General features: G+C 38.4%; 1 protein-coding gene and 1 pseudogene across 16 annotated transcripts in view; one reads left to right on the forward strand and one right to left on the reverse strand.

Annotated features, from left to right (window-relative positions):
• Window positions 1–26304, forward strand: part of PCED1B (PC-esterase domain containing 1B) — a 157040-nt gene that overhangs the window by 54894 nt on the left and 75842 nt on the right. The window lies entirely within an intron of this gene.
• On the reverse strand, window positions 810–1434 carry IFITM3P6 (IFITM3P pseudogene 6; annotated as a pseudogene).

Genomic DNA, 26304 nt, shown 5'->3' on the forward strand with positions numbered 1-26304 from the left:
CTCTCCCCACCTGCATTGACCCCTTCCATCTAATCTTTCACCTCAAAGAAAATTGCTATTTAACAAAGTCTTAGGTCTGGTGCAGTGGCTCATGCCTGTAATCCCAGCACTTTGGGAGGCTGAGGAAGGCGGATCACGAGGTCAACAGATCGAGACCATCCTGGCCAACAAGGTGAAACCCCATCTCTACTAAAAATACAAAAATTAGCTGGGCGTGGTGGCGGGCGCCTGTAGTCCCAGCTACTCGGGAAGCTGAGGCAGGAGAATTGCTTGAACCCCAGAGGCAGAGCTTGCAGTGAGCTGAGATTGTGCCACTGCACTACAGCCTGGTGACAGAGTGAGACTCTATCTCAAAAAGATATATACATGCATATACATGTTTTCACATATATTTTCAATCTATTTTTCTTCTTTCCTAATCCACAGAACAGAGCTCACACTATATATACCCCTTCACTCATTTTTTAACTTATTACCAAATATTGAGAATCATTTCATATACATACATTACAGTATCTTTTAGGAACCAGTATTTGCACCGATGGATTTAACTTTATTTCACCAATCTCTACTGATAGGAATTGGTCATTTAGTTTGTTGCCATTACAAATAATGCTTTAATTAATGAGTTTGGTGTCCATGTCCATAGATCTAGGTGAACTTCCATCACTATATTCCTATAGTAAATTTCATACAATGGGCTTGCTCCTTCAAAGGATATATGCAATTAAGATTTTTATTCAAAGTACCAGCTAATATGTTAAAGAAAGTTAATTTTTTTATTTTTATTTTTATTTTTATTTTTTTGCACCACGAACACATGCACTTTATTGAATGACATTGTAGAAAAGTGTGTGAGGATAAAGGGCTGATACAGGACTCAGCTTTGGGGGCAGGGCAAGGAATGGAAGGCGGAGTGCATGGGAGACAGGTTGTGGGCAGAGCTCCTGGCCCGGATGCTGTCTCCTGTTCTATCGAGAGACTTGGAAGATCAGCACTGAGATGATGATGAGCAGAATGGTCAGGAGGATGCCCAGAGCCAGGGCCCAGATGTTCAGGCACTTGGCAGTGGAGACACAGGCCTGGGCCCCAGTCAGGTCACCAACCATCTTCCTGTCCATAGACTTCCTGTCCTAGACTTCACAGAGTAGATGAATGCTATGAAGTCCGGGCAGCAGGAATTCTTGAAGAGGGTGTTGAATAGGGACCAGACGACATGGTCGGGCACGGAGGTCTCACTGCAGATGTGGATCATGGTGAACGCTGGAGGCACAGGGTTGTGGGGTGCCCCCAGCACAGCCACCTCATGCTTCTCCTTGAGCATCTCATGGTTGGTGGAGCGGCCGGTGTTGGCAGGAGTGAAGAGGGTTTGGACAGTGTGGTTCATGGTCTCCAGGGAGAACCAGCTGTGGTTGGGTTGCTGGGATGGTTCTCCAAAAAAAAAAAAAGATTTTTATAGATAAGAACAAGTTACTCTCCAGGAGAGCATTCAAAGTTACACTTCCACCAAAAGGGTACAGTAGCCTTTTTTCCTCCATACTTTCACCAGTACTCACCATTCAATTTCTTTCTTTTTTTTTTTTTTTGGCCAATTTGATAGATATATCATGTTTTGGTATTCATTTCCTTTATTATAATCATCTTTCACATACTTCTTGCCCATTTGTACTTTTGCTCTGTAAGATGCATGATCTTATCTTTTGCCCATTTTTCTATTGATTTGCTCACCTTTCAATTCATTTGAATGAGCGCTTTGTAAATCAAGAAAATTAGCCTGTCCACCTGTCAAAAGTTTCTAATGATTGAAATAAATTATTTTCTTCCCTTTATCTTAACAGATAGACTTCTTAAGCCCTCTTATGCAAAGAATTTCAGGCTGATTTCACTTTAAAATGAGATATAGGTGATAACAAAAGCCAAATTGTCACCTACTTTAAAGGATAAGTGAATAATAAGAAGGCAGCATGATGTACCCAAGGGAAATTTGAGTGATCTTAGCTGGGAAAGAAACCAAATATTCATGCCTTTATGCACTGCACAAAACTTGCACACCAGAACTTTAAAAGATGACTCTTTGAAAGTAGTTCTTCAGTGTCTTTCATACTCCTTAATCTTCCCAATTTTAAGTAACACTGTTGACAAACTTTAATTTCCATTTTAATAATCTTAGCATCATTATGAGATAGTATTAGGCAAATATTTAAGTATAAACGATATCTACAAACTTTAATTTCCATTTTAATAATCTTAGCATCATTATGAGATAGTATTAGGCAAATTTTTAAGTATAAACGATATCTACATATACTAGAAGACAAGTCATAGTTCAAGAGAAGCATGATATAAAAAGGCCATTATGATGAGAGTCAGTGGACTTGGATTCTAGATGTGCCACCGTCACTCCTTTGCCACGTAACCTTGGGTAACTCCCTCAGTTTCTGTGGTTCTGTTTTCTCATCTATAAAATGAAAATAATAATAACTTTTCTTCCTAGCCAATACCTTGTTTTGCTAATTAAAAGAACTCATGAAGTATTTTGCAAACTATGCAACACTCTCGATTACTGTAATTGTTGGGAAGTAACATATCTGTAGACTACTTTCAGCAATGTCTTATTGCCATTCTCCAGGTTGTGAAAGGTTCTGGTACTGATTACAAAATCTATTTTGAAAATTTCCCATGATATGAATATAAACAAAGTCTTAATTTCATTTTTTATTTCCTTCACATTTAAACAATTAATGGCATATTTTGATTAAACATGCTAGCTTCTTATTTGATCATGTCCAAAATATGTCTTCAAATATAGATGTGATTAGAGTGGAATCATCAACAAATCCAAGGCAATCCTTTGCAAAAATAATTTATCTGTTATTGGAGACAAAATATTTAAGCTATATAATGTAAGACCTAAAAGAATGCTATTAGATTCTTGTATACGTTTTTCTAAGATGTTTCTATCCTAATTTCTAAACATTTAGGGAAAGCTATTCTGTCTTTCAAAAAAGGAATCATTTCAGCCTGGGCAGCATGGCAAAACCCCATCTCTACGACAAACACAAAAATTAGCTGGGCACGGTGGTGCACTCCTGTAGTCTCAGCTACTTGGGAAGCTGAGGTAGGAGGATCACTTGAGCCTGGAGGTTGAGGCTGCATTGAGCTGAAATCATGCCACTGCACTCCAGCCTGGGTGACAGGGTGAGTGAGGCCCTGTCTAAAAAAAAAAAAAGAAAAAAAGAAAAAAAAAAACAACCCAAAAAACAAAAAACAAACAAAAAAGATATAATTTAAATACTTAAAGTTTACAAGGCTTAGGTAGTCCCAAAATCTACATCGCTTCCAGAGATGTTTACATTGAAGCTAAGAGGTGTGAGCCATTTTAGGGATTTGAAACTTTATTCAGAATAACTTCTTGTCATTGAAAAGGACATTATTAGTTAAGTGCAAATGGTCAATATTTTTGAAATTGCCTATGAACAGTTCGAATTATCTGAGAAGCAGACCTCATTCTGGAGTTTCACATAGCATACAAACCCACATTACTGTTTCTTAAAAAAATTTTCTTAAAAAGATGATGAGTTGGGATAATTGTACCAGACATGGTAAACAGAACATACTGTTCAATAGGTAGCAATGCCTCCAAAACATGTCTGTTCTTTCCTCTTTCACACACGCATGCATACAAACACACGTACACATACTCAGATATTTCCATTTGGTGCCTGCTTCCTGGGTAGAACCTCAAACATGGGAAGACAAAGGGAGTTTCTGAGATGCTGGTAGGTTATTTTCTTAGGAGCCATTGCTTCTTGGCTCAGATCAGATCAGATCTGCCCTTCTTAGCCTTTGTATTGCTTGGCCTCTTCTCATGATGGCAGTAGTAGACTTCGACCTTTCCAGAATAAGCATAGAACTGGACATTACTAAGCAAGTAATCTGATTTTGGTCTTGCCTTATGCATGACTACTTTTGACTTCCTAACTTTCAGTAGCCTGGCTCACATTTTTAGACTATTAATTATTTTCTTAGAAGATTCTATATGTTCCTGGCTCTCAGATTAGCTCTATCCACTATCAGTACCTGAAATTAACAGGAGTATCTAAACTCTATGGTGCCTCATTGTGTACAATGCCTTGAATGGATCCAGTACGTATTTCACCATTATCTTAACTGCAATTATTATCAATGTGAATGTCATTATAACATATAGGGGTCTACACCATCCTTGCCTTGAGCCAAGACTCAGAAACCATGCCTCCTTTTCAAGTCCAAATGACCCCCTAGCTAAGCCTTCTGCATTTGCAAACCAGGCTGCCACTTGTTTACCATCTTGAATAAACAGATGCTTTAACTTCTGAAAAATTTCCAATAGACTGTATGTCCTTGTGCCTTTGGGATAATGTTTTTCAACTATTCTTGGCTCTTTCTTGCTTCTACCTCCTTTTACCTCCTTGCTTTTTTTCTTTAAGCATTAATCACTACCTGACATTATTTTATGTATTTATTTGCTTATTATCTGTCTCCTTGAATAGACTGTAAGTTTCATGAGTTCAAAGTCCTTGCCCTTTTTGTACCCCTCTGATACCTAGTACTGAGAATAGTGACATAATAGGTACTTACGAAATATATGCTGAATGGATGAATGAATGATTTTTGTAACCTTAGACAAGTTACTTCTCTTTTTGAAGCTTCCCTCCTGTTGTGTGCAAAATGAGGATGTTAGACTAAATTAGATGATTTCTAAGAACAACTTACATTTTATGGTTGGAGTTCAGAATACAGGTAGCTAAGGCCAGTCAGGACAGTAATGGGGAGCAGCAGACAGTTGCAGAGAGCAAGTGATCTGGGTGCTATCCTGCACTGGGGGAGGGTCAGGGAAAGGATCTCTAAGGAAAAGGGAGTACACCATGTGCACATCCAGGAAAAGAGAAGTTTTTCAGGCAGAGGGAACTGCAAATGCCAATGGGCTAAGACAGAAGTGTGTTTGGTGTGCTCAAGACAAGGCAAAGAGGAAGGCGTAGCTCAAGTACAGTGAAAAGGGGAGAGAGAGTTGGAAATAAGGTCAGGAAGGCAGCCAGTGGCCAGATCATGTGGGATGTATGTGTATGTGTGCTGGGTATGAAAGGGAATGTATGTGTGGTATGGTATGTGTAGTGCATGTGTGGCAAAGTCTTGTGCTTGTGTGGTGTATGTGCATATAGTATGTATATGTGTGCTGTATGGTATTTTGTGTACATGGGTTTGATGTGAGAGATATGTGTGCATATGCTATGGTGTGTGTGCTATGATGTGGCATGTGTATAGCGTATTTTTCTGTGCTTGGTGGAGAGTAGAGTGTATATATGCAGTATGGTATGTGTGTATGTATCTGTGTGGTGTGGTAGGTGTATAGTATATAGTGTGTACATGTGTGTTTCGTGTGAGTAGGGTATAAAATATTAGATGATGTGTGTGTGTGGTATATATTGAAGTTACTACTCATGTTACAACAAAAGCTGATTAAAACTCATCCTGCCAGGGTGATTGAAAACTCCAGCTTGAAAATAAAATAAGCATTCTATTTTTTGGTGCTTCCTTCTGAACAAGCTTCTCCAGGATTAAAAGACTACCTTGCATATGTTACTGCACATTAATGAGGAATTTTGCTTATCAAATAATCTAGATTTTTAATAATGGGTTGATGCTTTCTGAAAAAGAACATTGTTTTGCTTTTGCTACATCATCCTGATCACTGAAATCTAATCTTTTTCAACTTTGTAAATATATAATGCAGCAAAGCACAGATTCTAAAATAAATCCATAATTTAAATAAGTACAGAGTTTTAAGATTCATTTGTTTATAGTTTTGATGTAAAATGTGGGTTTGAAAACCCAGGGATTCTTGACCTATATTATCTAGATTTTTATGCCCCTGGCATCTTGAGCTGCCAAGAAATACATATATCAAAGTGTCAGGGACAGCAAAATATGTTGTCACTTTTAACTCTGTTTTATTAATTAATGTTTGTACCTAAAACCTCTCTCCTCATTCGATCAACGGAATGAGATGATATACTGTCTCCATTTTGACCCACATAGAAAACACAACCAAGATTGAAATACTAATGATTTGCTTCACTATTGAGAATTCAGTTATCTCAGAAGACAGTGAAAATGCTTCATGTCTTGACAAAAGATATGACAGAATTTTCCTTTAATCATAATTGTAGTGGCTGCATGCAAAAAAAGAAAATATATCCAAAATACAATGAATAAGCAGGGAAAGAGTGCAAAGGAAGTGAATCTCCCTTCTCTATTTAATATAGTTGACTAATTTGTCCCCATGTGTACCAAGATATGTTTACCTGCTGAATACCCTGAGCAAAACAAAACAAAACCTTCTTAGGTAAGATGAGTGTATTCACTGAAGTGGCCTTCAACTAGGGATCATTTCTAAAACATTCTTGGTACTTTCAGCTGACAGACTACATGCCTCTAAGCTGTTTCATACTTAAGAGACTGAATTCACTGGAGGTACTTAAAAGGATGAGACTGTATAATGGTTGATCATTTCAGCTGTGCAAGCAGCAGACCATGATTTGAGTCCTGGCTTTGCTCTTTACTAGGTATAGAGCCTTGAGAAGTCCGCTTAATTTGCTCCTCACTAAGTGTCTGTTTAAGATATAACAAGGAGGAAAAAGTGATGGAATAGGAGGTCCCTTGATCATATTTCCCCACAGCAACAAGAACTTGGTAGCCATCCATGGACAAAAGTGCCTTTGTGGGAGCTGTGGACCCCAGGTTGCAAAACCCAAGCACAGCCTAAGACCAAAGATGGCTCCTTTGAAAGGGCAGACTCACAGCTAGGTGGTAGGCTCACCAACTGTGGTCCTGTGACAGTATCAGAAACATTCTGTTCCTCTGTGGACTCAGCTACAGCCCCATTTGGCTTTGATCCTGCCACCAGAGCCATCTATCAAGGGACCTGGGAGGACTCACACCCACCTGTGCTTCAGGCAACAGGCCTGCTGACCACAATCCTGGCTGTGGATCCTGAAGCAGCTTGGGACCCAGCTCCAAGCTCTCTTGGCCATGGTCTGAGAGAAGTCCTGCTCACACAGGAACCTGCTGGGAAACATGCCCATCCATGCCTTGAGAGGCCCATCTGCTTACCTACATTCCACAGCATACCTTCAAAGAGCCCTGTAACTTGACTCCAGGCCCTCTAAGCTGCAACCTGGCTGCAGTCCTCCCATCCCAGGGATGTACCAGAAGACATGCCCCTTTATGTCACTAGAGGCAGACTCACTGGCCTAAGTTCAGCTGCAGATCTTGAAGCAGCCCTGTGACCCAGCTTCAGCACCACCCAGCTGCAGTCCCAGGGCAGTCCTTCCCACCAAAGGACCCAGGAGGAGGCACCTTCATCCATGACCCAGGAGGCAGTCCTTGAGCTTGTGTGTGGACCCTGAAGCAGTCCTGTGACTCAGTTTTAGTCCCTCTCTTCTGCCCAGTGAACCAGTGGGAACCCTTGCAGAGACCCTCAGGGAACTACACCCATCCATGCATCTGGCAACAGGCCTGCCAGCTGTAGACCAAGCTTCGAACCCTGAAGTGGACCCTTGTCCCAGAACCAGGCCTACTGACCAAAAACTTAGAGACAGTTGATTTCACTCAAGGACCAGAGAGGATCCGTGCTCACTTGAGCCTCTGGTAACAGGCCCACCAACTGCAGACCTCACACTGGACCCAGCAGCAGTCACATTGCCCAACTCCAACCCCACTCAACTGCAATCCTGGTGGCAATTCCATCAGCCCATGGACCTAACAAGAGGTCTTTACCTGCTGAAATCAATCTATAAATACTGGAAAAGGTGTTTGCTCCTTCAAATGCACAGACACCAATGCAAAGCTACACAAATCATGAAGAATCAGGCAAACATGACACCAAAGGAAACTAATAAAGCTCCAGTAACCAACCCCCAAGAATTGGATATCTATGAATTGCCTGACAAATTATTCAAAATTATTATCTTAAAAAAGCTCAATGAGATGCAAGAGAACACAAACAAATGCAATCATGGAAACAATCCATAAACAAAATGAGAAGTGTAATAAAGAAATAAAAAACATAGAAAAGAACCAAACAAAATCTTAGAGCTGAGGAATATAATGACAGAATGAAAAAAAATCAGTAGAGAGCTTCAACAACAGACTTGATCGCGCAGAAGAAAAAAATCAGCAAATCAAAAACAGATTATTTGAAATTAGCCAATTAGAGGAACCAAAACAAAAGAAGAAATTAAAAGAATTAAGAAAGCATAATAAAGAAGCCATGCGATACTATCAAGCAAATGAATTTACAAATTATGGTAACAGAAGAAGAGAGAAAGAGGCAAAAAACTAATTTTAAGAAATTCATACACAAATCAATACATGTGATACATGATGTTAACAAAAATAAAAATAAAAACTGTATGATCATTTCAATAGAAGCAGAAATGCATTGACAAAATTCAACATCCTTTATGATGAAACTCTCAACTTATTAGGTATAGAAACAATTTACCTCAACATAATAGAGGTCATATATGATAAGCCCACAGCTAACATCATACCCAGCTGTGAAACACTGAAAGCTTTACCTCTAAGATCAGGAACAAGGCAAGGATGGACACCCATCCTTGCCAATTCTATTCAGTATAGTATTGGAAGTCCTAGCCAGAGCAGTTAGGCAAGAAAAAGAAATAAAATGCATCTAAATTGGAATGATAAAAGGTAAGTTGTTTCTGTTTACAGATGACATGATCTTGTACGTAGCCAGTCCTAAAGACTTGACCAACAAACTATTACAACTAATAAATGAATTTAGTAAAGTTACAAGAAACAAAATTAACATACAAAACTCAGCTGTGTTACTATACATGAATGACAAGCTTACATGAATAAAAAACTATTCATAAAAGAAACTTAGAAAACAATTCCATTTATAATAGCATCAAAAATTAAAATATTTAGGAATAAATTTAACCAAGGAGATGAAAGATCTGTACACAGAAAACTATAAGACATTGATGAAAGAAATAAGGAAGACACAAGTAAATGGAAAGATATCCCATGGTCATGGAATCAGAAAAATCATATTGCCAAAATTTCCATTTTATTTGAAGCAAGCTACAAGCTCAGTGTAATCCCTATCAAAATTCCCATGGCATTTTTCACTGAAAAAGAAAAACCGTAAAATTTACTTGTAAACACAAAAGACCCTGAATAGTTAAAACAATCTTGAACAGGAAGAACAAAGCTAGACTTCAAATTATGTTACAAAGCTATAGTAATCAAAATAGTATGGTACTGGTGTAAAAATAGACACATAGATAAACAAAACAGAATAGAGAGCCCAGAAATAAACTTTACTAGGCATTGCTCTAGTGGAAACTCTCTGTGGCAGCTCTGACCCTACATTTCCATTTAGCATTGCCCTAGTTGGGGCTCTCTGTAGTTACTCCACCCCTGCAAAAAATTTTTATCAGGGACCCCAGGCTGTTTATGACATCCTTTGAAATCTAGGTGAAAGAAACCATGCCCCCACAGCTCTTGCATTTCTCACGCCTAAAGAACTAGCACCACATGAATGCCACCAAGGTTTATGGCTTATACCTTGTAGAGTGGTGGGTTGAGCCACACCTGGTCCCACTGTGCCTTAGCCACAGCTAAGGCAGCCGAGGAGCAATGCACTGAAATGTGGGAAGGAGAAATCTAGGAGGCTCTGGATAGTGAGCCCACAGAGGGTTCTCAGGATCATCCTTTGAAACTATCCTGCCCTCCTAGAGCTCTGGTCCTGTAACAGGAGGGACAGCCTCAAGGATCTCTAAATGACTTTGAGGTCATTCTCCTATTGTCTTGATGATTCTTTCTGTCCATACTAATCTCCTTAACAGTATCTTGGTCACACACTTGGTTTGCTCTCCTGAATAGGCTTTTTTATTCTTCACATGGCCAGGTTGAAAATTTTCAAAATTTTTCCATTCTGCTTCTCCTTTATAGTCATACATTGCATTTCTAAAAAGGGCATTGTCAGGCAATTTTGTCATCATCTGAATATCACAGAGTGTACTTACACAAACCTACATGGTATGGCCTACTACACAGCTAGGCTATGTGATGGACCCAAGGGAACACAATGGTAACTATTTGTGTATCTAAACATATCTAAATATAAAAGAGGTACAGTGAAAATATGGTATTATCATCCTACAGGACCACCAACAGCAAACTTAATCAACAAACGTTGTGTGTGTTCTGTCTGCTCCACTGAGTGGCCATTCCCCTGTCTCAAAATCCCTTGGGCCTTCCTATTCCCTGAGACATAACAATATTGAAATTAGGTCAATTAATAATTCTACAATGGTCTCTAAGTGAAAGAAAAAGTCACAATTCTCTTACTTCAAAACAAAAGCTAGGAATGATTAAGCTTACTGAGGAACCCATGTCAAAAGCTGAGATAGGCTGCAAGGCCTCTTGTGCCAAATAGTTAACCAGGTTGTAAATGCAAAAGAAAAATTCTTGAAGCAAATTAAAAGTGCTACTTCAGTGAACATACAAACGATAAGAAAGCAAAACAGCCTTATTGCTGATATGGAAAATATTTTAGAGGTCTGGATAGATGATCAAACCAACCACAGCATTCCCTCAAGCCAAAGCCTAATCCAGAACAAGACCCTAAATTTCTTTAATTCTATGAAGACTGAAAAAGGTGAGGAAGCTGCAGAAGAAAAGGTTGAAGCCAGCAGAGAGATTGGTTCATGAGATTTAAGGAAAGAAGCCGTTTCCATTACATAAAAGTGCAAGGTGAAGCAACAAGTGCTGATGTAGAAGCTGCAGGATGTTATTTAGAAGATCTTGCTAAGATAATGGATGAAGGCAGCTACACTAAACAAGATTTTCAGTGTAGACAAAACAGCCGCTATTGGAAGAAAATCCCGTCTAGGACTTGCATAGCTAGAGAGAAGTCAGTGCCTAACTTCAAAGCTTCAAAGGACAGGCTGTCTTTTTAGGTACCGATGCAACTGGTGACTTTAAGTTGAAGCTAATGCTCATTTAGCATTCTGAAAATCCTAGGGCTCTTAGGAATAATGCTAAATTAACTCTGCCTGTGCTGTAGAAATGGAACAAACCCTGGATAACAACATATCTATTTACAACAAGGTTTACTGAATATTTTCAAGTCCACTATTGAGACCTATTACTCAGAAATATAAATTCCTTTTACAATATTACTGCTTATTGACAATTCACCTACTCACTCAAAAGCTCTGATGGAGATGTGCAAGGAGATAAATGTTGTTTCATGCCTGCTAATACAACATTCATTCTGCAGCCCATGGATCAAGGAGTAATTTCAACTTTCAAGTCTTGTCATTTAAGAAATACTTTTCATAAGGCTACAGCTGCTATAGACAGTGATTCCTCTGATTGATCTGGGCAAAGAAAATTGAAAACTTTCTGGAAAAAACTTACCATTCTAGATGGTAGTGAGAACATTCATGATTCATAGGAGGAAGTCAAAATATCAACATTAACAGAGTTTGGAAGAAGTTGATTCCAGTTCTCATGGGTGACTTTAAGGATTCAGGACTTCAGTGGAGGAAGTAACTGCAGATGTAGCGCAAATAGCAATGCAACTAGAAATAGAAGCGGAGACTGAAGATGTGATTGATTGCTGCAATCTCATGATAAAACTTGAACAAATGAGGAGTTGCTTCTTATGGATAACCAAAGAAAGTGGTTTCTTGAGATGGAATCTACTCCTGGTGAAGATGCTGTGAACGTTGTTGAAATGACAACAAAGGATTTAGAATATTTAATAAACTTAGTTGATAAAGCAGTGGCAGGGTTTGAGGGGATTGACTCCAATTTTGAAATAAGTCCTACTGTGGGTAAAATGCTATCAAACAGCATCGCATGCTACAGAAAAAAATCTTTCATGAAAGGAAGAGTTAATTGATGAGTCAAATTTCATTTTTGTCTTATTTTAAGAAATTGCCACAACCACCCCAATCTTCAACAACTACCACCCTGATCAGATTGAGGCAAGACCCTATACCGGCAAAAAGATTACAGCTTGCCAATGGCTCAGATGATTATTAGCATTTTTAGCAATAAAGTATTTTTAATTAAGGTATGTACTTTTTTTTAGATACAATGATATTGCACACTTAATAAAGTATAGTGTAAACATAACTTTTGCATGTGCTGGGAAACCCAAAAATTCATACGATTTACTTTATTGTGATATTTGCTTTATTGCAGTGGTCAGAAACCAAAGCCACAATACTTCTCAGATATGCCTGTATGTGATTGTTGATTAAAACATGACTGTAATTATAAATTCCATCTCTGAGTCATTTCTTTCCTCTTGCATCTTACTGTATGCAGTTTAAAGTAGCCTTATAGCTTCTACAATATTTTGTTTAGAAATTTCTTTAGATATCCTAGTTCATTGCTCTTTTTTTTTTTTTTTTTTTTGAGATGGAGTCTTGCTCTGTTGCCCAGGCAGGAGTGCAGTGGTGCAATCTCGGCTCACTGCAATTTCCACCTCCTGGGCTCAAGCAATTCTCCTGCCTCAGCCTCCTGAGTAGCTGGGACTACAGGCATGTGTCACCATGCCCAGCTTATTTTTGTTTATTTGTTTGTTTGTTTTTTCAGTAGAGACAGGGTTTCACCATATTGGCCAGGCTGGTCTCAAACTTCTGACCTCAAGTGATCCACTTGCCTCGGCCTCCCAAAGTACTGGGATTATAGGTGTGAGCCACTGTGCCTGGCCTCATTGCTCTTAAATGTCACCTTCCATAAAGCCCTCAGCCATAAACACAATTCGGCCCTATTCTTTGCAGTTGTATAACAAGCATGGGCTTTACTTCAGTTTCCAATTCCTTGTTCCTCAATTCCATCTGAGATCTCCTCAGAATGGCTTTTACCATCCATATTTCCACTGATGTCTGTTTACCATCCATATTCTATTTCTACTGATATCTATTTACTCTCCATATTTCTATTGATATCTATTTACCATCCATATTTTATTTCTATTTGTCTATCCATATTCTATTTACCATCCATATTCTATCTGTCTACCATCCATGTTCTATTTCTATTGATATCTATTTACTATTTACTGTCAGTATTTCCACTGATATTTATTTACCCATCCATATTTCTATTGATAATCTGATCACTTAAGTAATCCCTGAGAACATCTAGGCTCTCCCTAGTTCTGGAGTCTTCTAAGCCCTCACCAGAATTGCCCTTAATGCTTTATTCATGCCAAACTAGGCTTTTTCTGGCCTGCCCTTCCAAATTCTTACAGCCTGTACTCATTATCCAGTTCCAAAACCACGTCCATGTTATCCATTATTTGTTATAATAACAGCCCCACTTCTGGATACCAATTTTCTTCATTCCTTTTGTGTTGCTATAACAGAATACCACAGGCCCAGTAATTTATAAATAAAGGAAATTTATTTCTCATAGTTCTGGAGGCTGGAGAGTTTGATGTTAAGGTGCTGGCATGTTGTGAAAGCCTTCATGCTATGCCATCGCATGGTGGAAGGCAGAAGAGCAAATGAGGGCAAGAGCAACAAACAGACGGGACCAAACTCACTTTTATAACAACCCATTTTCACAATAATGAACCACTTCCACAATAATGACATTAACCTATTCATGAGGGAGCCTTCATGGCCTAATAACCTTTTAATGGTCCCATTTCTTAATACCATCCCAATGATAATTAAATTTTATTATGATTTTAGAGGGGACATTAAATCCACAGCAGTTAGTACAATCAAATTATGACACTCAGAAATGAGAATGGGACCAGCTATTCCTAATGCCCATGGTTTCTTGGAAAAGTGTGGATACTAGAAAAAAATTTAGAATTCTGTTAGAAGAGAGTGAGTAGGGGCTAGCTATAGGGCAGGAAACCAAAGGTATCTGCTATAGCAAATTTACAGGCAGAGTAGCACAACATAAGCAGCAATTCACCACAGCCCCTGAAACTCCCAGTCTTAATGGGGGATCCAGGGTTTATTTGTGTTGCTTCACTTTTCTGGAGTTAAATGACTCCTAGGAGAAAAAAACAAAGGCCCAGAGAGCCATGTTTGATGTTCATACAGACTTTATTTTTCAATACTTTGTCCAGTTGTTCACCACAAAGGAAAGCCTTCTACTCTAGGAAGGAAATGCACCCTTAGTTTTACAAATTTATTCATCATTAATTCAGATGTGACTACTCTATCCTCCAGATTTTGGTGCAGCTGACTAGAGTCTCTTAAATTGTTTGAGTATCTCTGTTACCAGAGGGATCACAGCTGTTTTCAACATTTGTCACTCTTAAAAATCTTTTCTGTATTTCATGGGATTTTACAAAATTAGCACCTTCTGTCCCGTTTTTTTCTCCTTCCCCATCCCCATTTCATTTTCCACTGTCCTCATTCCTTTAGGCTTGGTAACATTCTAAGGGAAATGGCACTGCTGAGAATCTTCCCCAGAAAACTCAGTGGAGGATACCATTAGCCTAACAATCCCTTTGGCTATTTCCAGTCTTTTCAATTTACAGAAATAAATCTGTGCTCTCAACGAATGGAAACAGCTTTATAGCTATTATTTCTCAGTTTAGACATCACTCAATTACTTTCATAAATTTGGTATTTTGTATCTAGCTTCCAAATACTCTAACCCAGAGCTGACAATACACTTCACTCACCTTAAGTGCTTTCCCTCCAGAGTTATCCCCGCTTCATTGTGTTTAAACTACAGGAAGAAACATTGACATCCTCACCCCAATTATGGCTCCATTCTCTCTCCCTTCGTCAAATTCCCTGAGAAGCAGCGCAATAGTTGCCTCACACTTTCTGCTACCTGTTATTAGTTCCTTATTCTGCCTCTCCCTGTTAAGTGATTTGAGATAACTGTCTTTTTCAGACTGGCTTACACATTAGTAAATGGCCTACCTATAGGTGCACTTATGTTTCAGGGTAACTTTTTCAGACAGATCCTTTAAAAGTTGACTCTGGAGCCCGTCAACCTGAAGAGTGAAGAGTTAGGAGGAGTATCACAATCATTTTATGGCAAAGATTTATGCTTTAACGTGTGAGCTCTTTGTTTTAATAGCTTTTTCTTTTTCTCTGATCACAAAAATAATACTTATTCATTGTGGAGAATTTAGGAGAAAACATGTTTCATTTATATAAGGACAGGCAGCTGTTAGAAGAGATGCAGAGGAGTATATTGAAGGCAAACATTCTAATGAATAGACTAAATCACATTCTGTACTCACACAGTTACAGTAATATGGATTCAGGGCAGAAATACAGATTGCCAGTCCTTATGCTGGCAGTTTATCAATTGACACTTATTATCAACAGCTAAAACATCTTAAGATATTTCTTTTTTTAACCCATCCCCTCAAGCATTTATAAGATATTTCTTAATGAAATATGAATTAGATTAAGTCAACAAATGTTTGGTATTAATTAGCTTGATTGTAATAATAATTTCACAATATACCTATGTATCAAATCATCATATTGTACATCTTAAATGTGTACTATTTTTATTTGTCAATCATATTTTAACAAAGTTGGAGGGGAAAAGTGTTCAGTAACAAATATATACATATGTATTTAGTTTCTGCTACTAGAACAGTTCCAGGTACTGCTCTAGATCAGGGAGTATGACAGTAAATAAAACAAAGCCCTGGTGGAGCTCATATTCCTGTAACTAAGGCAGCCAAAGAAATAGGCCGGGCGCGGTGGCTCAAGCCTGTAATCCCAGCACTTTGGGAGGTCAAGGCAGGAGGATCATGAGGTCAGGAGTTCGAGACCAACCTGGCCAACATGGTGAAACCCTGTCTCTACTAAAAAAAAATACAAAAATTAGCTGGGCACAGTGGTGCGTGCCTGTAGTCCCAGCTACTAGGGAGGCTGAGGCAGGAGAACTGCTTGAACCCGGGAAGCAGAGGTTGCAGCAAGCCAAGATCGTGCCACTGCACTGCAGTCTGGGCAACAGAGTGAGACTCCATCTCAAAAAAAAAAAAAGAAATAACTATGTAAGATACCTCTTGAACAGAAGCCTGAAGGAAGTGGGGGACTCACCCATGTTGATACATGGGGGAGAGCATTTCAAGCAGAGGGAAGAGCAAGTACAAAGGCACTGAGGTAGGAGCTCATGGGGTGTGTTGAGCAGCGAGGAGCTTATGGAGCAGCAAGGAGGCCAGTGTGAACTGACTGGGGTCCGCAAGAGTCTGGTAAGGAGATGGGGCTAGAGAGGCATAAGAGGGCCAGATCATGTAGGCTTAGGCCATGTGGAAAGGACTTCTAATTTGACTCTGAGTGAGGTAGAAAGTCCTGGAGAATTTTGGCCAGATAGGATAGGACTTAATTTTTTAAATTAATATAAATGGTAACAAGCGAACAATTACAAATGAACAACATGACATAAAGGGAACACAGAGGAAAAGAACTAACATAAGTAACTTTGAAAAATAGTATTTTGACTGTATACTGTATTTTATTCTGAGTTCCCCAGAAAAGCAAAACCAATAGGATATTATTTTATATATATATACTCTATATATAATATATACACACACACACACATACACATATATTTATAAATATACAGTCATAGGCTGCATAACAACATTTTAGTCAATGATGGACTGTATATACAACAGTGATCCCATAAGATTAAATTGTATTTTACTGTACCTTTTCTACATTTAAATATATTTAGATACGAAAGTACTTTACCATTGTATTACACTTGCCTACAGTATTCAGAATAGTAACATGCTGTACAGGTTTGCAGCCTAGGAGCAAAAGGCTATACCATATAGCCTAGGTGTGTGGTAGGCTATAACGTCTAGATTGTGTATGTGCAGTCTACAATGTTCACACTAAGACAAAATCACCTAATGACACATTTCTCAAAGCTTATCCTGTCATCAAGCAATGTGTGACTGTATATATAAAGAGATCTATTATAACGAGTTAGCTCATGTGGTTATGGAGGCCAGGAAGTTCCAAGATTTACCACTGACAAGCTGGAGTCTCAGGAGAGCCAATGGTATAATTCCTGTCTGAGTTTGAAGGCCTGAGAAGCAGGAAAGCTGATGGTGTAAATTCCAGTCTAAATTCGAATCTGAAGGCCAGAGAGGACCAAGGTCCCAGCTAGAGGACCATCACATAGAGAGAAAGAATTCTTTCCTACTTAGTCTTTTATTCTATTCAGGCCTTCACCCAAATGAGATGAGATCCACCCACACTGAAGAGGGTTATCTACTTCACTCAGTCTGGCCACTCAAATGTTAATCCCACCCAGAAACAGTCTTACAGACACACCGGAAGTAAGGCTTAATTGAATATCTGGGCACCCTGTGGCCCAGTCAAGTTGACACATAAAATCAACATCATATACTGCAAAACAAAGACAACTGATATACATAGATAACTGAATAAATTATTTATTCAATTCTTCTTTACAGTAGAATTCCAATTTATAAATGCAGATAGATGATAGAAATAGAAAATCATTCTTTGGTAAACACTATAGTAATAACTGTTATAGGCTAGCAATGTTGATGGATGTTAAAAATTAGTAAACAAAAATGTGATGAGAAATAGGATATTTGCAGAGTCTCAGATTATCTCCCCACAAGATACTTTTTAGTTACAACAGGGAAAAAATCATAAATTCCAGGTGGAGAAACCTGGCCAAGACCACATTAACCAAAGTCAATATTACCATTTGTAATATGAGGTTTATTGACATCACACACCTCCTGAGATATACACTGAGAAGGGCACAATATTGCTTCTGGAGTCTTCTTGCCAAAAATGGGTAACCTCTGTTGAATCACGAGAAAACATCAAACAAACCCAAATTGAAAGACTCTTCATAATATCAAGGTCATAGAGAGTAAAGATAAAGGAATTGATCCAGATAGAGGAGAATTAGGAGACATGAAAATTACACACAATGTGGGATCCTGAATTAAATTTTAGAGCATAAAAAGGATAATTGGAGAAATTTGATTAAGTTCCACAGATTAGGTAATAGTATTGCATCAATGTTATCTTCTAAAATAACATTAGGGCTGGGCACGGTGGCTCAGGCCTATAATCCCAGCACTTTGGGAGTCCGAGGCAGGTGGATCACCTGAGGTCAGGAGTTCAAGACAAGCCTGGCCAACATGGCAAAACCCTGTCTCTACTAAAAATACAAAAAAACATTAGCCGGGTGTGGTGGCGCACACCTATAGTCCCAGCTACTTGGGAGGCTGAGGCAGAAGAATCGCTTGAACCTGGGAGGTGGAGGTTGCAGTAAGCCTAGATTGTGCCACTCCACTCCAGCCTGGGCAACAGAGTGAGACTCCGTATCAAAAAAATAAAATAAAATAACATTAGGCTGACAGTTAGTAAAAGTTATTTAGAAAACGATTATTACATAGAATACTATAAGGAAATGTAATGATTCTAGGAAAAGGAGAAAATGCTTAGAATATAGAAATTCAGGCCGGGCACAGTGGCTCACGCCTGTAATCCCAGCACTTTGGGAGGCTGAGGTGGGCAGATCACGAGGTCAGGAGATCAAGACCATCCTGGCTAACACGGTGAAACCCTGTCTCTACTGAAAATACAAAAAAATTAGCTGGGTGTGGTGGCGGGCGCCTGTAGTCCCAGCTACTTGGGAGGCTGAGGCAGGAGAATGGCATGAACCCAGGAGGTGGAGCTTACAGTGAGCAGAGATTGCACCACTGCACTCCAACTCCAGCCTGGGTGACAGAGCAAGACTCCTTCTCAAAAAAAAAAAAAAAAAAAAAGAGAATATAGAAATTTAGAAATTCAAGTTGTACTGAATTACACAGTTTAAAATCATACAAAATGTTCCAATTGATTTGATATACATATTTAAAATAATTCAAGTTCAATACATCTTAAATCTGGCAACTTTATCTCCCAATTCAAGTCCTTTGAATATAAGGACAAAGAACTGTGAACTGTTAAATATCATCAAAGGAAAGGAAAAGTCATCTGTACAGAAAGAGGAAAAAAATTAGCTCTCCATAACTAAACTTTGAACCTATTAGCTCTCCATAGCTAAACTTTGAACCTTTGCATTGCCTTTAGGGAAAGATTTTTCCAATTACTCTACTTTTAAATAATCAGTTTTATTCTATTCTTTCCTCTGAATTATGAAATAAATAATATGTATGTCTCTGAACAAAGAATAAAAGAACAATTCTGTTTCCCTTGTCCTATTTCCTTCTCCATGAACTGACCTTTTCATTCAAGTTTGTTTCCATGGGAAGACTAAACCTGCTGTGCTCCAGGCTAGAGCTGGACCATGTGGACTTTCTAGATAGTCTACAATCTCTGCCCCTTTCCACCGATATTCTTTCTCTATGTGTTTCAATATGTATTTGTTTAGTGAGGTGGGACCTACTATGCTATATTCCACTATGTCACATGCATTTAACGTATTACATCATTGATGGGAGACAGTTCTCCAGGGTCTCTACACAACTTGCAAGCAAGGCGCTGACTGCCCTTTGTTCCAAACCATTTGACCCAGGAAACGCGTATCTTCTACCAGCATCCATGAAACAGTAGCAGGCTAATTTGTTAGCTTGTAAGGAGAGTGACATGGTAGGTCCTTGGCAGTTTCTGGTAGTCCTTTTAAGTTACCACAAGTATTTATTTCAGGCACAGAATTTCAGGAGCTCATCCCATAAGTGTACTCTATGACTTCCTTATGAGCACTACGAAAACACTCATTTGAATCATGCTTAGCACCTGAGGGAGCTGGGGTTTTGTTTTGTTTTGTTTTGTTTTTAACCATTTCTTCTAGAGGTCAGTGTCTCCTTTCCAGGTAACAGAACCAACTTTATGTTTCAGCCACCACGTAGAGTCCCTTTCAAAAACCTCAAGCGTTTTTGCTTTTAAAAATCTTAGTTGGTATCATAGTCCTAATTTTCGCCAATGACATTTTAACACTTCCATAGATTGATTCCCCAGTCAAGTGCCTCCTAACCTACTTATAATCTGGTTCTGCTACCTAAAAGAGTAAATGTATGTGTGTGGATCTCCTGTTTCCAAGCAGGTGACAACAGCAACTCTGGAGTCCCAACTACTCATAATCCCTTAGAGCTCTAGTTCTGGGGATCATCATGTGAAGTCTCAAGGCAGAAATATGTAGTGTAGGACAGAGGGGTGTGTGTGTGCATGTGTGTGTGTGTGTGTGTGTGTGTGTGTGTGCATCTTCCTACTGCCTCCCCCAACAATAAGACTGTAATTAGCCTGTTTCTGCAAGCCTGTAAAATTATATTCATTACTTTCTTGCCTGGTTCCATTTAGAAACAACTTTGAAAATCTCAAACTAAGTATTTTTTGTTTTGTTTTGTTTTAGCAGGAATCCATGGGGTGGGGAGAAGAAGGGTGAGGAGATGCAGAACGAGGGCACCAGATGGTATGGATCACATAGGAGACTGAGTGGATGGATGATTCTGACATGTCTTCTCTTAGGAACAGATGTGTTGCCAGGTTGCAATAGTTCGGAAAGATGAGATGAGTACTTGCCATGAATCTTATCTTTTCTGTCAGAGATTTATTGCATAGAAATTGTATTTGGCTCCTTCTTTTATTTGTTGGCTTATAACCAAAGTAAAATGTTCCATATACTGAAAGGAGCTACCCTATTTCATCTAATCTAAGATTTTCTCCATTGTAAGACACTCTATTATTTTATGATCAACTAAGAAAGAAAAGTCACTGCCAATTAAATATGACACATTGTATGTTGTGAGAGACATCCCAGTTTTAGAGATGTGAAAACGTGAAGTTACCTTGTGTTGTAGAATTGATGAAATATGATATGTAAATCAAGGGTTCCAAACTTTTTGCCGAAGCCATTTCATGGTGTTTTATGATTTGAATTATCATCTGAGTCTGTGACCCTGAATACATAACAATAGCTATGACCAATTGTTGAACAAATAATATGTTGCTTGCCACATATACATTCATTATTTCCAATCCTTTCAACTACATTGCAAGGAAACAGGTATAAGTACCACTTTACAAGGCAGGAAGTTGAGCTCCTAGAGGTTAGGTAAAGTATGAAGGTGAAGCTGCCAGGAGTGAGAGCTGAGATTGGAACCCAGCTAGGTCTCCCTTCAAAGCTGAGATGCCTTCGGTTACTCTACGGAATTGCTCTTTTTGAAGAAGCTGCCTGATTTGGGAATGTCTTTGAGAATGGTACTGTATCTAAATATTTGTGGATTGTTTTAGAAACAAGTTCCCACCCATCACACAGTTGTCACCCAGCAATAATAGTGAGACTGGCTCCTCTCTTTCAGCTAGAGTTAAAAGTGAAAGGAGGGGAGAAGGGGTGGCTATTCATCTCCCCAGAAATCATGACAGACATAATGGGGCTAATGCTTTGTGAAACTGCAAAGTGCTGCATCATTGTTTATCTTCTGCCAAGTGCTTATTCATAGCAGGGAGAAAGCCCCTTCAGAACTCCTGAAATGTTAGGGCTTCAAGTTCTTAAAGCACATGCATAATTTCTAGTACTTTATTCAAAATATACTTTTTCTTTTTCCTTTTTTCTGTAATTTGAAAACATCTTCACCATAGCCAAGAACAAAATTTTAACTGATGGCAAAAATATAAAGCCTTGAGGTAGTGTTTTATCACTATTTATTATTGTATCCAAAGAAGAGGCCTTGACAATGTTGGCTGCTGCTGGGTTGCCATGGCAGTAATCAGTCAAACAGGAACAGGATTTTGCAAGCCTGCTCAACCCTTTTTCTTACCAAGCACTGCAAAGCTGATAGAAAGATTTTCATTTTGCACGATACTATTGGATGAGGCAAATGTGTCCTTTTCTCACAAGGTTCCAGTCTTGCTCCCTGCTTCTCAAGCCATCACATTCCCTTGCACCCTTGCTCCATCCACACTGAACCACTTGCATTCTTAAGTGTGCCACAGTCTATGCCCTTGGGCTCAGGGCACACAGGGCTGCTTCTGCTTGGAACACCCTTTAGAACCTATTCTAGCCCCAACTCCTACTTCTGTTCTGTTCTGTGACCATACCACCTCCTCCAGGAAGCCTTAAGCATCCTTTCCTCCATTCAGTATGGGTTAGACACACATTCTGAGTGCTCCGATAACACTCTGTATTTACCTCTATCTTAGCACATGTTACCTTGATCATAGTTGTCTGCGACAATTTTGGTAAAGAACATCTGGAGCTGGTCTGCCTGAGTTTGAAGCTCTCCTTCGTTACTTACTAGCTGTGATCTTGGCCAAGTCATTTGACCTCTCTAAGCCTCAGCTTCCCCCTATGTAAAAGGACAAAAATAATATCTACTTCACAGAATTACTGTGAAGATTAAGTGAGATGATCTAAGTAAAATGCCTAATGCTAATGAGTTCTCAATAAATATTATAGTAAAACTTGTCTCCTTCTAGAGTCTAAGCTCCATGAGGACAGAGACCATGTCTTTTATTTTTGCACATTCAGGACCTAACAAACATCAGGTACACAGAGAGCATTTCCTCATTGTCTAACACAGTATGGTTAGACTGTGTTAGGAATGGGTTTCTCTATATAATTTTTCCTGTAGGTAGAGCTTACCCCTGAACACATAAAAAATCCCATCTTGTTAATTATATTAATTACAAAATTAATTCACATTCATTGGTGAAAATTTGGAATATACAGAATTATAAAGACAGAAACCATCTGTGGTTGGGTGGGATGGCTCACACCTGTAATCTCAGTACTTTGGGAGACCAAGGCAGGAAGATGGCTTGACACTAAGAGGTCAAGAGTAGTCTGGTCAACATAATGAGACCCTGTCTCTGTAAGAAACTTTAAAAATTGGCCAGGCATGGTTGTGTGTGCCTGCAATCCTACCTACTGGGGAGGTTGAGGCAGGAAGGTCACGTGGCTGCAGTGAGCCATGATAAAGCCACTGTACTTCAGCCTAGGCGACAGAGCAAGGCCCTGTCTCTTCAAAATATTATATTGAAATATTCCAATTTAAATTTTTTTCTAATTTTTTTCATTGTGGAAATATATGTAACATAAAATGTATCATCTTAACCATTTTTTAATGTATAGATCAGTGTAAAGGTGTGTTAAATACACCCATAATGTGCTACTATCACCAGGATCCATCTCTGTAACTATTTTAATCTTGTAAAACTGAAACTCTGTACCTGTTACAGAATAACTCTCCATTCCCCACTTCTGCTAGTTCCTGACAACCAGTATACCACTTTCTGTCTCTATGATTTTGACTTATAAGTATCTCAAATAAATGGAATCAGTATTTGTCTTTTGGTAGCTGGCTTGTTTTACTTAACACAATATCCTCAAGTTCATCCATGTTGTAGCATGTGTCAGGATTTCCTTCCTTTAAAGGTTGAATAATTTTCAATTGTATGTATGTACCACATTTCACTTATCTATTTATTTGTTGATGAATATATTTGTTGATGAATAATAGGGTTACTTCCACATTTTACCTGTTATGAATTATGCTGCTATGAACATGGCTATACAAACATTTCTTTGAATCTCTGCTTTCAATTTTTTTGTGTGTGTTCCCAGAAGTGGAATCGCTAGATCATGGTAATTCTTCAGTTTGTGACTGTTTTCCACAGCAACCATACCATTTTACATTTCCACCAACAATGCACAAGGGTTCCAATTTCTCCATATCCTTGCTTAACATTTGTTATTTTCTGGAATTGTTTTGTTTTGTTTTTTACAGTAGCCATCCTAATGGGTGCGAGGTGGTCTCCCTTTCCAGTTTTCGATTTGCATCTCCCTGATGATTAGTGAGGTTGAGCATCTTTTTATGTCCTTACTGGCCATTTGCATATTTTTGAAGAAATGCCTATAAAGTCTTTTGCCCATTTTTGAATTGGGTTGTTTGCTTTTTTGTTGTTCAGTTTTATGAGTTCCATTTATATTTCAGATATCAATCCCTTATCAGATATATCATTTGCAAATATTTTCTTCCATTCTGTGGGTTGTATTTTACTCTGTTGATACTGTCTTTTGATGCACAATTTTTATTGATAGACAATATTGGTACATATTTATGAGGTACAGGTGATATTTTGTTACATGCATAGACTGTAATAATCAAGTCAGGGTACTGGGGTGTCCATCACCTCAAGTATTTATCACTTCTATGTGTTGGGAACATTTCAAGTCTTCTAGCTATTTTGAAATATGCAATACATTGTTATTAACTATAGTAACCCTACTCTGCTATTGAACATTAAAACTTATTCCTTCTGTGTTTGTACTCATTAGCCAACCTCTCTTTATCTCCTGCCCCCACCCACACATAGCCTCTGTTATCTTTCTACTCTCTATCTCCATGAACTTTTTTAGCTCTCCCGTATGAGTAAGAACATGCAATATTTGTCTTTCTGAACCTGGTTTATCTCACTTAACATAAGTCCCATTCCATTCATATTGCTGCAAATGACATGATTTTATTATTTTTTTACAGCTGAATAGTATTCCATTATGTATATATGCCACATTTTATTTATCCATTTATCCACTGATGGACACTTAGGTTGATTCCACATTCTTGCTATTGTGAATACTGCAGTAAACATGGGAGTGCAGGTATCCGTTTAATATACTGATTTCTTTTCCTCTGGATAAATACCAAGTAGTGGGACTGCTGGATTGTATGGTAGTTGTTCTATTTTTAGTTTTTTTGAGAAATCTCCCTACTGTTTTCCGTAATGGCTGTACTAATTGATATTCCTACCTACAGTGTATAAGAGTTCCCTTTTCTCTTCATCCTTGCCAGCATTAGTTATTTTTTGTCTTTTGATAATAACTATTCTAATTGGGATGAGATGATATCTCATTGTGGTTTTTGTTTGCATTTCTCTGATGATTAGTGATGTAGAGCATTTTGTTGGCCATTTGTGTGTCTTCTTTTGAGAAATGTCTATTCATGGTTTTTGCCCACTTTTTAATAGGATTTTCTTTTTTTTTACTGTTGAGCTCTCGGTTTTCCTTGTATATTCTGGATATTAGTCCTTTATTGAATGAACATTTTGCAAATATTTTCTCCCATTCTGTGGATTGTCTCTTCACTCTGTAGATTGTTTCCTTTGCTGTACAGAAGCTATTTAGTTTAGTATAGTCACATTTGTCTATTTTTGGTTTCAGTTGCCTGTACTTTTGAGGTCTTAATCATAAAATATTTGTCAAAACCAACGTCCTAAAATGTTTCTCCTATGTTTTCTTCTAGTAGTTTTATAGTTTCGGATCTTATGTTTAAGTCTATAATCCATCTTGAGTTGACTTTTGTATGTGGTGAGAGATAGGGGTCTAGTTTCATTCTTCCACATATAGATATCAAATTTTTCTAGCACCATTTATTGAAGACAATGTCCTTTCCTCAGTGTATGTTTTTGGCACCTTTGTCAAAAATCAGTTGGCTGCAAATACGTGGATTTATTTCTGGGTTCTCTACTCTGTTCCATTGGCCTGTGTGTCTGTCTGTATACCAATATCATGATATTTTGTTTACTACAGCCTTGAAATATATCTTGAAGTCAGGTAGTGTGGTGCCTCCAGCATTGTTCTTTTTGCTTGCAAAATTTTTAAATGTTCATGAAGTCCAATTTGTTTATTTTGTTGTTGTTGGCTGTTTTTCTTTTCTTTTCTTTCTTTTTCTTTTTCTTTTTCTTTTTTTTTTTTTTTTTTTTTTTTGAGATGGGATCACTCTCTGTCACCCAGGTTGGAGTACAGTGGTGCAATCACAGCCCACTGAAGCCTCGAACACTTGGCCTCAAGCACAATCCTCTTGTCTCAGCCTCCTGAGTAGCTAGGATTATAGGAATGCACCACCATGTCCAGCTAATTTTTTAAACAAATATTTTTGTAGAGATAGGGTCTTACTCATTGCTCAGGCTGGTTTGAACTCCTGGGCTCAAGCAATCTTCAATGTTTCAACCTCCCAAAGTGCTGAGCCACTTTGGGAGTATGTATGAGCCACAATACCCAGCCAGCATCTTTCATGTCTTATCCAAGAAATCAGTGACAAATCCAATGTTTTGATGCTATTTTCATATTTTCTTCTAAGACTTTTACAGTTTTAGATTTTACATTTAGTTATTTGCTATGTTTGAATATGGTTTTTCCCCACTAAAACTCATATTGAAACCTTAATTCCCTTTGTGGCAATGTTGGGAAGTGAAACCTCTAAGAGGT

Source organism: Homo sapiens, chromosome 12, assembly GCF_000001405.40.
Source record: "Homo sapiens chromosome 12, GRCh38.p14 Primary Assembly".
Lineage (NCBI taxonomy): Eukaryota > Metazoa > Chordata > Mammalia > Primates > Hominidae > Homo > Homo sapiens.